Raw genomic sequence first — 15,108 nt, 5'->3', positions numbered from 1 at the left:
GATATGCCAGTCACTGTGTTAAGCCTTCAGTGTCTGAAGTCATTTACTCCTCACAATAGCATTATGAGGTATTAGTATTTGCATATTGCAGTTGAACAGACTGAGGTACAGAAAGTACTGTCCCAAACTCACACCCAAAGCTGACTTCTTTGGCTGAGCTTTTACTTTTTCATTTCCAAATTCTGAGGTTAGGACTTCCCATGTGTACTTCATTGCTTTGCAAACCAAAAAGTATCTGAAACAGGTCTCAATTTACCAGTTTATTTTGCCAAGGTTAAGGATGTGTCTGGGAGACAGGTCTGTGCCTTTCTCCAAAGATGACTTTGAGGGCTTCAGTATTTATTTATTTATTTAAAGACAGGGTCTCACTGTCACCCAGGCTGAAATGCAGTGGCACAGTCATGGCTCACCCCAGCCTCCACTGCCTGGGCTCAAGTGATTCTCCCACCTCAGCCTCCCAGGTAGCTGGGACTATAGGTGTGCCACCACCACACCTGGCCAATTTTTAAATTATTTGTAGAGACAAGGTCTCGCTCTGTTGCCCAGGCTGGTCTCGAACTCCTGAGCTCAAGCTATCCTCCTGCCCCAGCCTCCCAAAGTGCTGGGATTACAGCCATGAGCCACCCCACCTGGCCAGGCTTCAGGTTTTAGTTTGTTTGTTTGAGATGGAGTTTCACTCTTGTTGCCCAGGCTGGAGTGCAATGGCACGATCTTGGCTCACTGCCACCTCTGCCTCCCGGGTTCAAGCGATTCTGCTGCCTCAGCCTCCCAAGTAGCTGGGATTACAGGCTCCTGCCACCACACCCAGCTAGTGTTTGTATTTTTAATAGAGACGGGATTTCACCATGTTGGTCAGGCTGGTCTCGAACTCTTGACCTTAGGCGATCCATGCACCTCGGCCTCTGATGGTGCTGGGATTACAGGCCTGAGCCATCACGCCCGGCCTAGGCTTCAGTATTTAAAGGAGAAATGCAAGGGCAGGTGCAGTGGCTCACGCTTGTAATCCCAGCACTTTGGGAGACCAAGGCAGGCAGATCACCTGAGATCAGGAGTTGGAGACCAGCCTGGCCAATATGGTGAAACCCTGTCTCTACCAAAAATACAAAAATTAGCTGGGCATGGTGGGGGGCACCTGTAATCCCAGCTACTTGGGAGGCTGAGGCAGGAGAATCGCTTGAACCCGGGAAGTAGAGGTTGCAGTGAGCCAAGATTGCACCACTGCACTCCAACCTGGGCAACAAGAGCTAGACTCCGTCTCAAATAATAACAATAATAATAATAATAAATAATAATAATAAAGGGGAAATGCGAGCTTGAGGGAAGAGAGGGAAGGTATGGTCACATGATTGAATCCACATGTTGCAAGAGAAAAAGAGCAGGTAGAGGAAGAATCAATTATGTATCCGTCTCCTGCTCAGTAAATCAGCACTTTACATAAGATAAGGTAAACATAGAGTAGCTACAGGTGGAGATATTTAACCTGTTATTTGTAGCTGTCTGCTTAGGAACAAAAGGAAAGGCAGCTTCTTGCATGACTCAGCTTTCAGTTTAATTTTTTTTCCTTTTGGCAGAGTGAATTGGGGTCCCAAGTTTTTATTTTCCTTTTACAGCTTTCAAAGATGTCTTTTATGAATCAAAGATGAAAGAGATATAGTGCTTATCAGCTTACACTCAGGAACAATTTAACATTTTTCTTTCTCAGTTCCCTTGTCTATAAAATGGGGTTAATAACAATGCCTACAGAATAGGGATTTTATGGGGATCAAACCAGGCAATTCATGTGAAGACCAAGAACAATGCCTGGTACATCATAATCTCTCTCTATAATGATTAGATAGCCTTTCTTTCTCTCTCTCTCTCTCTCTCTTTTTTTTTTTTTTTTTTTTTTTTTTTTTTTTTTTTGAGACAGAGTTTTGCTCTTGTTGCCCAGGCTGGAGTGCAGTGGCACTATCTCGGCTCACCGCAACCTCCGCCTCCCAGGTTCAAGCGATTCTCCTGCCTCAGCCTCCTGAGTAGCTGGGATTACAGGCACCTGCCACCACGCCCAAATAATTTTTGGTCTCAAACTCCTGACCTCAGGTGATCCGCCCACCTTGGCCTCCCAAACTGCTGGGATTACAGGTGTGAGCCACTGTGCCCAGCCTTTCTTTTTCTTTCTTTCTTTTTTTTTTTTTTTGAGACAGGATCTCAAAATGTTTCCCAGCCTGGAGTGCAATGGTGTGATCAAGGCTCACTGCAGCCTCAACCTCCCAGGCTCAAGTGATCCTCCCAACTCAACCTCCTGGGTAGCTGGGCCCACGGGCATGTGCCACTACACCCAGTTTGTTGTTTGTTTGTTTGTTTTGTTGAGACAAGGTCTCTATTTGTTGCCTGGGCTGGTCTTGAACTCCTAGGCTCCCACCTCCACCTCTCAAAGTGCTGGGATTACAGGCATGACCCACCATGCCCAGCGTAGATATCATTTCTATTAATAGTATTATTTATAGTAGTGGTATTGGCCAGGCATGGTAGCTCACGCCTGTAATCCCAGCACTTTGGGAGGCTGAGGTGGGTGGATCACCTGAGGTCAGGGGTTCAGGTCCAGCCTGGCCAACACAGTGAAACCCCGTCTCTACTAAAAAGTAGCTGGGCATGGTGGCAGGCGCCTGTAATCCCAGCTACTTGGGAGGCAGAGGCAGGAGAATCACCTGAACCGGAGATGTGGAGGTTGCAGTGAACCGAGATCTCGCCACTGCACTCCAGCCTGGGCGAAAAGAGCGAAACTCCGGCTCAAAGAAAAAAAAAAGACAGTGGATTTCAAACCCAACAAAGGAAGAAAACTGCAATGTTAAGTGTCTTTATCCAGGAAGAAATGCTGAGCTCACTGCCTGGAAGACATCACATGTTTTGAGGTCCCACACCCAGAGATCATGCTGTGGAGGTGGAGTGGTGAGGCAGGGGAATGGAGGGTGGGAAGGGAGGAGTTTTGGAGACAGTGTGGTTTAGTAGAAGAAACACAGACTCTGGGCCGGGCACAGTGGCTCACGCCTGTAATCCCAGCACTTTGGGAGGCTGAGGCGGGTGGATCACCTGAGGTCAGGAGTTCGAGGCCAACCTGGCCAACGTGGTGAAAACCCATTTCTTCTAAAAATACAAAAATTAGCCAGGCATGGTGGTGCTGGCCTGTAATCGCAGCTACTTGGGAGGCTGAGGCAGGAGAATCGCTTGAACCTGGGAAGCAGAGGTTGCAGTGAGCCAAGATTGTGCTATTGTACTCCAGCCCAGGCAACAAGAGCGAAACTCTGTCACAAAGGAAAAAAAAGAAACAACACAGACTCTGAATGCAGATACAGTACAGGGTTTCAAATCCGAGCTCTGCCACATACTGGCGTTGTAACTGTGACTTCAGGCAGGTTGTTTTGTAGTAGGATGAGTCGCAGACAAAACTCCTCAGACACCGGATTAAAGAAGGAAGAGGTTTTTTATTTGTCTGGGAGCGTCGGCAGACTCACGTCTTAAGAGCCGAGCTCCCCGAAAAAGAAATTCCTAGCCCTTTTAAGGCCTTACAACTCTAAGGAGTCTACGTGAAAGAGTCATAATAGATCAAGTAAGCGTGAGGAACGTGACTGGGGGCTACATACATCAGGTAACAGAACAAAAGGTTTTACAGTGCTTTCTCATACAATGTCTGGAATTCACAGATAACCCCTGACCAAAACTACTGGTGTTATTATTTTAACCACCACCCAGGTGCTGGCGCCAGGATCGTCTAGCTATTTATCTTACTTCTGTTTCTTTCCAACTTTTTGCTTTCTCCCTTTTCTCCTGTCTCATAAACTAGGGCAAAGGGGAGGTGGGGGAGAAGCTAAGAAGGACAACAGGAGAAGCAGTGGTCTCATTCCATAGTTTTACCTCTCTGAGTCTCATGTGCACAATGGGGATCTTAATAGGCTTTTTATAGGGTTGGTAAAAAGATGAATTTAGGTGATTCAAACAGAGACCTCAAAACAAGGACAGATACATTGTACATGCTCAATAAACATTAGTTAACGTATCATGATGATGGTAAGACTGACTGGGCCTGGAATTAGTGGGTTCTTGGTCTGACTTCAAGAATGAAGCCGCGGACCCTCTTGGTGAGTGTTACAGCTTTTAAGGTGGCACGTCTGGAGTTTGTTCCTTCCGATGTTCGGATGTGTTCGGAGTTTCTTCCATCTGGTGGGTTCGTGGTCTCGCTGGCTCAGGAGTGAAGCTGCAGACCTTCGCAGTTAGCGTTACAGCTTTTAAGGCGGCTAGTCTGGAGTTGTTCATTCCTCCCGGTGGACTCGTGGTCCTGCTAAGCTTCAAGAGTGAAGCTACAGACCTTCACAGTGAGTGTTACAGCTCATAAAGGCAGTGTGGATCCAAAGAGTGGCCGGTAGCAGGATTTATTGCAAAGACCAAAAGAACAACACCTCCACATTGTGGAAGAGAACCTCAGCAGGTTGCTGCTGCTGCTAGCTCCCGCAGCCTGCTTTTATTCTCTTATCTGGCCCCACCCACATCCTGCTAATTGGTAGGGCCGAGTGGTCTGTTTTGATAGGGCGCTGATTGGTGCGTTTACAATCCCTGAGCTAGACATAAAGGTTCTCCAAGTCCCCACCAGATTAGCTAGATACAGAGTGTCCACACAAAGGTTCTCCAAGTCCCCACCAGAGTAGCTAGATACAGAGTGTCGATTGGTGCATTCACAAACCCTGAGCTAGACACAGGGTGCTGATTGGTGTGTTTACAAACCTTGAGCTAGATACAGAGCGCCGATTGGTGTATTTACAATCCCTGAGCTAGACATAAAGGTTCTCCACCTCCCCACCAGACACAGGAGCCCAGCTGGCTTCACCCAGTGGATCCCACACCAGGGCTGCAGGTGGAGCTGCCTGCCAGTCCTGCGCGTGCGCCCGCACTCCTCAGCCCTTGGGTGGTTGATCGGACTGAGCGCCGTGGAGCAGGGGGCGGCGCTCGTCGGAGAGGCTCGGGCCGCACAGGAGCCCACGGAGAGGGTGGGAGGCTCAGGCATGGCGAGTTGCAGGTCGTGAGCCCTGCCCCGCGGGAAGGCAGCTAAGGCCAAGTGAGAAATCCAGCGCAGCGCCGGTGGGCCGGCATTGCTGGGGGACCCAGTACACTCTCCGCAGCCGCTGGCCCGGGTGCTAAACCCCTCATTGCCCGGGGCCGGCAGGGCCGGCCGGCTGCTCCGAGTGCGGGGCCCGCCAAGCCCACGCCCACCCGGAACTCCAGCTGGCCCGCAAGCGCTGCGCGCAGCCCCGGTTCCCGCTGGCGCCTCTCCCTCCACACCTCCCTGGAGCCGGCTCCTGCCTTGGCCAGCCCAGAAAGGGGCTCCCACAGTGCAGTGGTGGGCTGAAGGCCTCCTCAAGTGCCGCCGAAGTGGGAGCCCAGGCAGAGGAGGCGCGGAGAGCGAGCGAGGGCTGTGAGGACTGCCAGCACGCTGTCACCTCTCAATGACCAGCACAGACTCCAAAAGCAGAGGAACCGGGAAGAGCCCACCACTCTGCTGAGCTGGGAGAATTAGCCCAGTACTCCAGGGACCAGTGTGTCCTGAGCTCTCATGTGGTAGGGTCAGTGCCCGGAAGCCAAGCCTGAAAGAGGATTTGTATGGGCCGTGCATGGTCGCTAATGCCTCTAATCCCAGCACTTTGGGAGGCCGAGGCGGGCGGATTACCTGAGGTCAGGAGTTCCAGACCAGCCTGGCCAACTTGGCGAAACCCCGTCTCTACTGAAAATACAAAAATTAGCCGGGCATGGTGGCGGGCACCTGTAATCCCAGCTACTCAGGAGGCGGAGACAGGAGAATCGCTTTAACCCAGGAGGCAAAGGTTGCAGTGAGCCGGATCGCGCCATTGCACTCCAGCCTTGGCGGCAAGAGCAAAACTCCATCTCAATAAATAAATAAGAGGATTTGTGTGGATGTTGTTGTTGTTGAGCACATAAGCTCCGGAGCTGTGATTGACGATGGTGACTGCCCTCGGTTCTGCTCACCGGTCTGATTCCCAGAAAGCCCATCACACCAACTGTCTTTAACCCTCTGGTGCCACAACAGGCCAGGAACCACAGCCCTGCCCTCCTCCTGGGTTCAGGGTGGGGGAGTTGTGCTGCTTCTGGGATGGGGGTTAGAAACAGGCCCCACAGTAGCTGCATTGTGTAAAGCAGAGCTCCCGTTTCCTTCGTGTCGAGCTTAGGTGGGCAAGGACAGCAAGACCTCTCCTAGGCACCCCAGAGGCCACTGGTGAGAAGAACATGGTGGTGAGGACCTGATGTGGGAAGGGGAGTGGGATTCTTTCTTTTTTCTTTTTTCGTTTTTTTGTTTTGTTTTGTTTTGTTTGAGATGGAGTTTCACTCTGTCACCCAGGCTGGAGTGCAGCGGCGCCATCTCGGCTCACTGCAACCTCCTCCTCCCGGGTTCAAGCAATTCTCCTGCCTCAGCCTCCCTAATAGCTAAGATCACAGGTACACGCCACCAAGCTCAGCTAATTTTTTGTATTTTTAGTAGAGACGGGGTTTCACCATGTTGGCCAGGCTGGTCTCGAACTCGTGACCTCAGGTGATCCTCCCGCCTCGGCCTTCCAAAGTGCTGGGATTACAGGTGTGAGCCACCACGCCCGGCCTTATTTTAATTTTATTTTGAGATGGAATTTCAATCTTATTGCCTCAGCCTCTTGAGTGGCTGGGATTATAGGCGCCCGCCACCATGCCCAGCTAATTATTGTATTTTTTTGTGGGGACGGGTTTTTGCTATGTTTCCCAGGCTGGTCTTGAACTCCTGAGTTCAAGGGATCCGCCAGCCTCAGCCTTCCAAAGTGCCGGGATTACAGGTGCGAGCTACCACGCAGGGCCAGGATTTGTTTTTTTCCCCTTTGTTTTGTTTACATTTTTCTTTTGGTGGGGGGAGGGGAGAGATAGGGTCTCACTCTGTCACCCAGGCTGGAGTGCAGTGGTGCGATTACGGTTCACTGCAGCTTCCACCTCCTGGACTCAACTGATCCTCCCGCCTCAGCCTCCCAAGTAGCAGAGACCACAAGCACACACCACTAAGGTCAGCTAATTTTTTGTAGAGACTAGGTCTCACTATGTTACCCAGGCTGGTCTCAAACTCCTGACCTCAAGCGATCCTCCTGCCTCAGCCTCCCAAAGTGCTAGGATTACAGGCGTAAGCCACCCCAACGGGCTGGGAGTAGGATTCCTTATTGCCTGCCCAGAGGAGACAAATGCAGGCAAAATACTTTCGTGGAGGGAACCTGGAGAGATTTCCCAGCAGATTAGAAAGGCTCCTTCTTTGAAGCAGAAGCTTAAATTCTGTGGCCAGAACTTTACTTCTTACCCCCAGCCAAGCCCCTTACTGAAACGCACAAATTTTGGCTTCCAGGGCTCTCTAGGTTGAGAGGCCTTTTGAATCCTCATGCAGCGCCGAGGACAAGTTCTTCCAAACTACTCCCTGCTCGGATGCTAGTGCAGGTATGAGTGGAGAAAAATGGCTTGGAAGCAGAGATGGAGGGGAGAGCTGGGAGGAGCAGGTGGGGCAGAGCGGGAGGAGCTGGCTAGAGCCTTGCCAAGCTCAGCCCCTCCCTCTTCGGGAAGAAAATAGACTTGGCTGCTTGGGAAGCCATAACTCCCACCCGACTCCCCACCCCCGCGCCGCACCCCCGCCATGGGCCTCTGGAAGCATCGGGACTATGGGGGGCAGGGAGGCTGCGCCGGCTGCCCACTGGCGCGTGGTCCAGCGATGCGCCCGCGTTCTTCTGAAAGAACGTGGAGACTGCACCAATACGCGCCGCCCCAGTAACAAAAATTAGCCGGGCGTGGCGGCGCGCTCCTGTGGTCTCAGCTACTTGGGAGGCTGAGATGGAAGATCACTTGAGCCCGGGAGGTCGAGGCTGCAGTAGCCATGATCGCACCACTGCATTACAGCCTGGGCGACAGAGCCAGAGCCTGATACAGGCCTGGCCAAGTGGAGTGCGTCCTGTCAGCTCCCCAGGAGCCGATGGGCGGGGTCGGTCGCAAGTACACTGCCCTACTGTCCTGGGCTTTCCGAGGCTGCCGGGAGCTAGACAGACCGCCAGGGGGCGAGAGGGCCAGCGCCTCCCTTGTCCTGAATGTGGGGAGTGGAGGGGAGGGGGAAATTTGTATCAAGGATGTTGTGCTCACTAGAGAGAACTGCTTTGGAGAGTCTTGCAGATCCACACACTTTTTTTTTTTTTTTAGTCGGAGTCTCACTGTGTCGCCCAGGCTGGAGTGCAGTGGTGCGATCTCGGCTCACTGCAACCTCTGCCTCCCGGGTTCAAGCGATTCTCTTGTCTCAGCCTCCCAAGTAGCTGGGATTACAGGTGTGTGCAACCGCACCCAGCTAATTTTTGTATTTTCAGTAGAGACGGGATTTCACCATGTTGGCCAGATTGGTCTCGAACTCCTGACCACAAGTGATCCGCCCGCCCCAGCCTCCCAAACTGCTGGGATTACAGGCATGAGCCATCGCGCCTGGCCTACACTCTCTTAGCTGCTGCTGCTGCTTTTTTTTTTTTTTTTTTCTTTTGAGACAGAGTCTTGCTCTTGTCGCCTAGGCTGGAGTGCAATGGCACGATCCTGGCTCACTGCAACCTCCCCCTCCCGGATTCAAGCGATTCTCCTGCTTCAGCCTCCTGAGTAGCTGGGATTACAGGCATGCACCACCACACCCTGCTAATTTTTGTATTTTTAGTAGACACAGGGTTTCACCATGTTGGTCAGGCTGGTCTCGAACTCCTGTCCTCAAGTGTTCTGCCCACCTTAGCTTCCCAAAGTGCTGGGATTACAGGCGTGAGCCACCGCGCCTGGCCTAGGTTCTTCCTGAACTGAAGAAAATCCAGGGAGATGCCCTAGATAGGGGTAGTCTACATCACAGCACAAGGAAGAGAGGACAGAGCTCTCTCTTGGGACTCCACACCCTGGGCCTTGAATTATACTCTTTTCCACCTATGCCTCATTTTCATTCCCTCTCAGTTTCTTCCCTCTCCTCCCCTTATACTCTCATGCTCACCCTTTCAACCCTACCCTTACTTATTTTTTCCCCTTCTTTCTCTTATCCTACCAATCCCTAGCAAGGCTGATGCCTCTTAGCCACAAGCCTAGGCTTAAAGCTGACATTCTCTGCTTGTCGAATGAACCCAGTCGGCCACCACGTATCTTTTAAGTGACTGTAAAGTGCGCAGGTGGCAGGAATTGTGAGAAGTAAAACTGGCTTAAGACAAGGTTCCCACCCTCGATGCACTTACAATATAGTTGGGAAGACAAAGTGTGTTCACATGAAAAAATAACTAGCAAGTAAGTCAAAGCAGGGGACAATGAAATGCTTTCTTACCCAAAACATGAGGCATGTTGGATTTGGGCAGGTTCTGTTACCAGTAGAGGGTCTTTACTGCAAGTTGTCCAGGTTCTTGGCGTTTTGAACAAAGAATTGGACAAAACGCACAGCAAAGACAGGAAAGAAAGAAGCAAGCATGCACAGATTTATTGAAAGTGAAAGTATACTCCACAGTGTGAGAACGGGCGGAGCAGTGGCTCAAGGGCCCTGATACACAATCTTCTGGGGTCCAAATACCCGCTAGAGGTTTACCATTGGCCACTTGGTGTTCACCCCATGTTCATGAAGTTGCAGCCCACAATCAGAGGCTGAAATGAAGTTACAAAGGTCACACTCCTATGCAAACATCTTATTGGTTGTGGAAAGCAGCCAATCAGAGGCTAGAGTGAAAGTTGCCCTTCTATACAAACGAAGACTTGGCCCCCAATCCGTATGATTGGTTAGGATAGCAACCAATCAGAGGTTGAAGTGAAGTTACAAAGTTACACTCCTATGCAAACGTCTGATTGGTTGCAAAAAGCGACCAATCAGAGGTACTTTCAATTTGCCATCTGCTTTTTTTCCAACCAATCAGAGGTACTTTCAATTTCCCATCTGCCACACAGAAAGGTGGGGATTTGCAAGGGGAGCAACCTCTGGTTCTTTTGTTACGTAGGCGTGGAAAGGTAGGGCTTTCCTTTCAATTTAGTTCTAGGAAGTCAGCATGAAATGGCCTTAGGTTCCCTGCTTCCAGACTCTATTCTCCTGCCTCAGTTCTAAGCAAGTGACTTTGCTTCATGTCTCAAAGGCCACCAGACTGCCCTAGGAAGAAAGAGGGAGGAGGTGGTAGGAACCCAGGGCCTTTCCCAAGCAGAAGCCCATCCTCTAACAGTAAAGGCCACAGACCTGAGTACTGTGGTAGTCAGGCCCAGGTGGGTAGGTCCTTGAGAGTCATGATGTCACGAAAACCTCTCAGAATATCCTGGCCATCCTTGAGCATGAGTGCCTCATTGAATAGTGCCTTCCTCAGAACAAAAGTACTATGGCAAAGCTGTTCCTGATGGCTGGATTTTTAAATATATATATATATATACTTTAAGTTCTAGGGTACATGTGCACAACGTGCAGGTTTGTTACGTATATGTACATGTGCCATGTTGGTGTGCTGCACCCATTAACTTGTCATTTACATTAGGTATATCTCCTAATGCTATCCCTCCCCCCTCCCCCCACCCCACGAGAGGCCCCAGTGTGTGATGTTCCCTACCCTGTGTCCAAGTGATCTCATTGTCCAATTCCCACCTATGAGTGAGAACATGCGATGTTTGGTTTTCTGTCCTTGCAATAGTTTGCTGAGAATGATGGTTTCCAGCTTCATCCATGTCCCTACAAAGGACATGAACTCATCCTTTTTTATGGCTGCACAGTATTCCATGGTGTATATGTGCCACATTTTCTTAATCCAGTCTATCATTGATGGACATTTGGGTTGGTTCCAAGTCTTTGCTATTGTGAATAGTGCCGCAATAAACATACGTGTGCATGTGTCTTTATAGCAGCATGATTTATAATCCAATGGCTGGATTTTTGATAGTGATGTCTTGATGTTCAGATCCACGGTCATAACTAGAGTGGGCTGCTCTTGTAGGCACTGTATGAAAACTCCAGAGTTTCCCTAGAGACCAGACCAACCCCACCCCAAATACTAAGTTCTTAGAGGTAAGAGAGAAGAACAAGCTTCTGGTAGCCGGGGTGACTTCTGGCCTCTAGAAATGAAGCGTATTAGGCTTAGAGGGAAAATCTGTCTGCTGAATGAAACACTCCCCAGCAACATGGCAGGTGGTACAGAGCAGATAGGCACAGTATACCAAAGAAACTGTGTTTTTTTGTTTGGTTGGGGTTTTTTTGGTGGTGGTGTTTTGTTTTGTTTTTTGAGACGGAGTCTCACTCTTGTTGCCCAGGCTGGAGTGCAATGGCACAATCTCAGCTCACCGCAACCTCCGCCTCCCAGGTTCAAGCAATTCTCCTGTCTCAGCCTCCCGAGTAGCTGGGATTACAGGCATGCACCACCACACCCGGCTAATTTTGTATTTTTAGTAGAGACGGGGTTTCTCCATGTTAGTCAGGCTGGTCTCAAACTCCTGACCTCAGGTGATCTGCCTGCCTCGGCCTCCCAAAGTGCTGGGATTACAGGCATGAGCTGCCACGCCCAGCCACCAAAGAAACTCTTAACCACGTGGAAAATATCTTTGTTTTCTTGGGGCAGTAATGCTCAGTGTTCCCAGTGTTTTCCCTACCTTCTTTCTGTTGCCTTTGGGATTAGTTTTTTGGGGTCATAATTAAAATTGCATGGTTGTTTATAAGTTTTATTGCCTGATCACTCTCCAGCCCAAATATAATAATTGGTCTCTCCATGTTTGCTCGAACTGAGGAAGGCACCTACGAAGAACCAAAACAATGGATGATACCAAATGTGTTCAAACGAATAAAGCAACAGTTACTTGAGTTTATACAAGTAATATCTGCTGGGTCATTTTCTCAGTGGTTCCCTGTAAAGAACAATTATGTGTCTAATGGTGAATCAAGATTTGTGGAAATCCTAAAAGCAATTATTTGGATTTTTGTTGCAGAAGAGTCTTTGGGGTTGGAGGAAGGAGTATTACAGACAATAGCATAAGACATATAGGGTACAGAAATATGCCAAAAAAACTTAACAATTAAAGATTATGCAAACGTAACACAGGATTTATTCTTTATAGGAATTTCTTTCTCTCTGCCTTTTATCAAAACTGCATCAAAATGTGACAATTGGCCATGTGTGGTGGCTCACGTCTGTAACCCTAGCACTTTGGGAGGCCGAGATGGGTTGATCACTTAAGGTCAGGAGTTCAAGATCAGCCTGGCCAACATGGTGAAACCCCGTCTCTACTAAAAATACAAAATTAGCCAGGCATGGTGGGGGGGCGCCTGTAATCCCAACTACTCGGAGGCTGAGGCAGGAGAACCACTTGAACCCAGGAGGCAGAAGTTGCAGTGAGCCAAGCACTCCACCACTCATGCCATTGCACTCCAGCCTGGGTGACAGAGTGAGATTCCATCTCAAAAAAAAAAAAAAATTCTAGAGTATTCAAACCTCAAAGATAAAATATTTGGTCAGGAGGGTATGGATGAGGTGACAGAGGGAGCATTACACAAGCACACACAGACCCAAACCAGTAAGCTGAATGACAGTCTCTTTTGATATCTAAAATCCAAATCTATACACTTGGTATAGAAAAAAAAAAAAACCCTAAAATTGTACCATGTGCCTTGTTTCCCACAGAAGTACAGGAGAATAATTTCTCAGTTCACAGAAGTATCAGAGTGATATGGACTCTTGAAAACCAACTGATGTTTAACTCTCATCCTCCATCCCTTACCCTCAACCAGAAGCTTCTTGGTGAGAATGGCCAGCTTCAGTCCTATCCATTCAGCACCTTCCCTTAGAGCAGAGCAAGCAGCAAGAGCTGAGAGGGGTAACCAGGCACTCGGTTCTCACAGTGGCATGAAACTGCGTTTTTAGCTCTGCTTTCAGAAAACAGCTTCCAAACAATTAGTGTCTTCATCAAAGTTCCTACCGTCTGTTGTCCTTGCAGTGCTCTGAGATTCCCTAGCTGTGACCACTCTAACAGGGGACCAAAGACCTGGCCTGAGGGTCCTCCCAACATCACTTTTGTGTAAGTGCCTGAGGGATTTGGGGGTTGGCTGGAGAGCTGTTAAAGGGGTGCTCAAAATGCAGCAATGGTCCATTCCACATGCACGAGGCTGTACACTTAGAAACTACTTCACATACATGATTTCGTGAGATCTTCTCAGCTACCCAGGGACGTATGCAGGGCACATACTGTCCTCACTTGAGAGATGGGAGAACTGAAGCTAAGATCAGTGATGTGACCTACCAAAGGCCACACAACCCACAGGTGGTGCAGCTTCCTGATGTGAAGTTACTCCCAACTTTCTGTGTCTCCACATCTTACATCATCTATTTGGAAAAGAAACATGTTGTTCTGTGCCTTCTCAAGCTGAGGCACATCACTGAGAGTACATTGGGAGGCTGGGCACGGTGGCTTATGCCTGTAATCCCAGCACTTTGGGAGGCCAAGGCAGGTGGATCACCTGAAGTCAGGAGTTCGAGACCAGCCTGGCCAACATGGTGACACACCGTCTCTACTAAAAATACAAAAAATTAACTGGGTGTAGTGCACATGCCTGTAATCCCAGCTATTCGGGAGGCTGAGGCAGGAGAACTGGCTGAACCCCGGGGGTGGAGGTTGCAGTGAGCTGAAATTGCGCCACTGCACTCCAGCCCGAGCAACAAGAGCAAAACTCCGCCTCAAAACAAAAAAAAAGAAAGAAAGAAGAGTACATTAGGATACTTCCTTGGAAAAACAAACGCCTCCAGGGAAGGGATATGCTTCAAGTTTACAGATGAGCCAACAGAGATCTGAATGAAAAAAAGAACCAGGAGAGGGAGGGAGAAGGGAAATTGCTCCCATACATTTCTGAATAATTAGGACTTTTTAAAACTTTTTTCTCTCTTTAACGCTTTTTTTTTTTTTTTTTTTTTGAGAGGGAGTCTCACTCTGTCACCCAGGCTGGAGTGCAGTGGCGCCATCTCGGTTCACTGCAACCTCTGCCTCCTGGGTTCAAGTGAGTCTTGTGCTGCAGCTTTTCTAGTAGCTGGGATTATAGGTGCCCACCACAACACCCAGCAATTTTTGTATTTTTATTTATTTGTTTGTTTTTGAGACAGAGTCGCCCTCTGTCACCCAGGATGGAGTTCAGTGGCTTGATCTCGGCTCACTGCAACCTTCACCTCCCGGCTTCAAGTGATTCTCCTGCCTCAGCCTCCCAAGTAGCCGGGATTACAGATGCACACCACCACGTCCGGCTAATTTTTGTAACTTTTGGTACAGATGGGGTTTCACCATGTTGGCCAGGCTGGTCTCGAACTCCTGACCTCAGGTGACCCGCCTGCCTCGGCCTCTCAAAGTGCTGGGATTACAGGTGTCAGCCACCACGCCTGGCCTAATTTTTGTATTTTTAGTAGAGATGAGGTTTCACCATGTTGGCCAGGCTAGTCTCAAACTCCTGGCCTCAAGTGATTGGCCCGCTCTGGCCTCCCAAAGTGCTGGGATTACAGGTGTGAACCACTGCGCCCGGACTCTTTAATACTTTTTTTCAAAATAGATAAGGAGTTTTGCTGTGTTGCCCAGGCTGGTCTTGAACTCCTGGGCTCAAGCAGTTCTCCTGTCTCAACCACCCAAAGTGCTAGGATTACAAGTGTGAACCACTGTGCCCAGGCAGAATCTTTTTAAAAAACACTTCCCACTGTGTTCCTTAATGGAGAACCTGCTACTGTTTTCAGAGTTTCTCAACCTTGGCACTATTGACACTTAAGGCTACTGGAAACTGTCAATGTGGGACTGTCCTGTACATCTTAGGATGTTTAGAAGCATCACTGGCTTCTAACCACTAGATGTCAGCAACACCTCCCCACCCATACCTCCTGTTGCCTCAAGGAAAAATGTCTGCAGTCGTTGCAATATGCCCTGGGAGGCAAACTCACCCAGCTGAGAACCACTGTGCAGAGCAGCCAGGCAGATGTGCGCAAGTCACATCACTCTCCTACCTCTTGCTAGACTTCCCAGTCGCCCTCAGGAGGAATTCCGACACCCAGGGGGAGACATTCACGTTCTGGGCCCTGCCAACCTCTCTGGTCC

At 49.5% G+C, this 15,108-nt stretch overlaps 1 annotated feature.

Moving 5' to 3' along the window:
• Positions 4,373-4,667: an enhancer, noted in NCBI's record as "tiled region #5043; HepG2 Activating non-DNase unmatched - State 23:Low, and K562 Activating DNase matched - State 8:EnhW". NCBI's record gives its function as "activates a minimal TATA promoter and a strong SV40 promoter by Sharpr-MPRA in HepG2 and K562 cells {active_cell/tissue: HepG2 | K562}" and the evidence as "EXISTENCE:reporter gene assay evidence [ECO:0000049][PMID:27701403]".

Source organism: Homo sapiens, chromosome X (assembly GCF_000001405.40).
Source record: "Homo sapiens chromosome X, GRCh38.p14 Primary Assembly".
NCBI lineage: Eukaryota > Metazoa > Chordata > Mammalia > Primates > Hominidae > Homo > Homo sapiens.
This window is presented reverse-complemented; position numbering and strand designations above follow the sequence as displayed.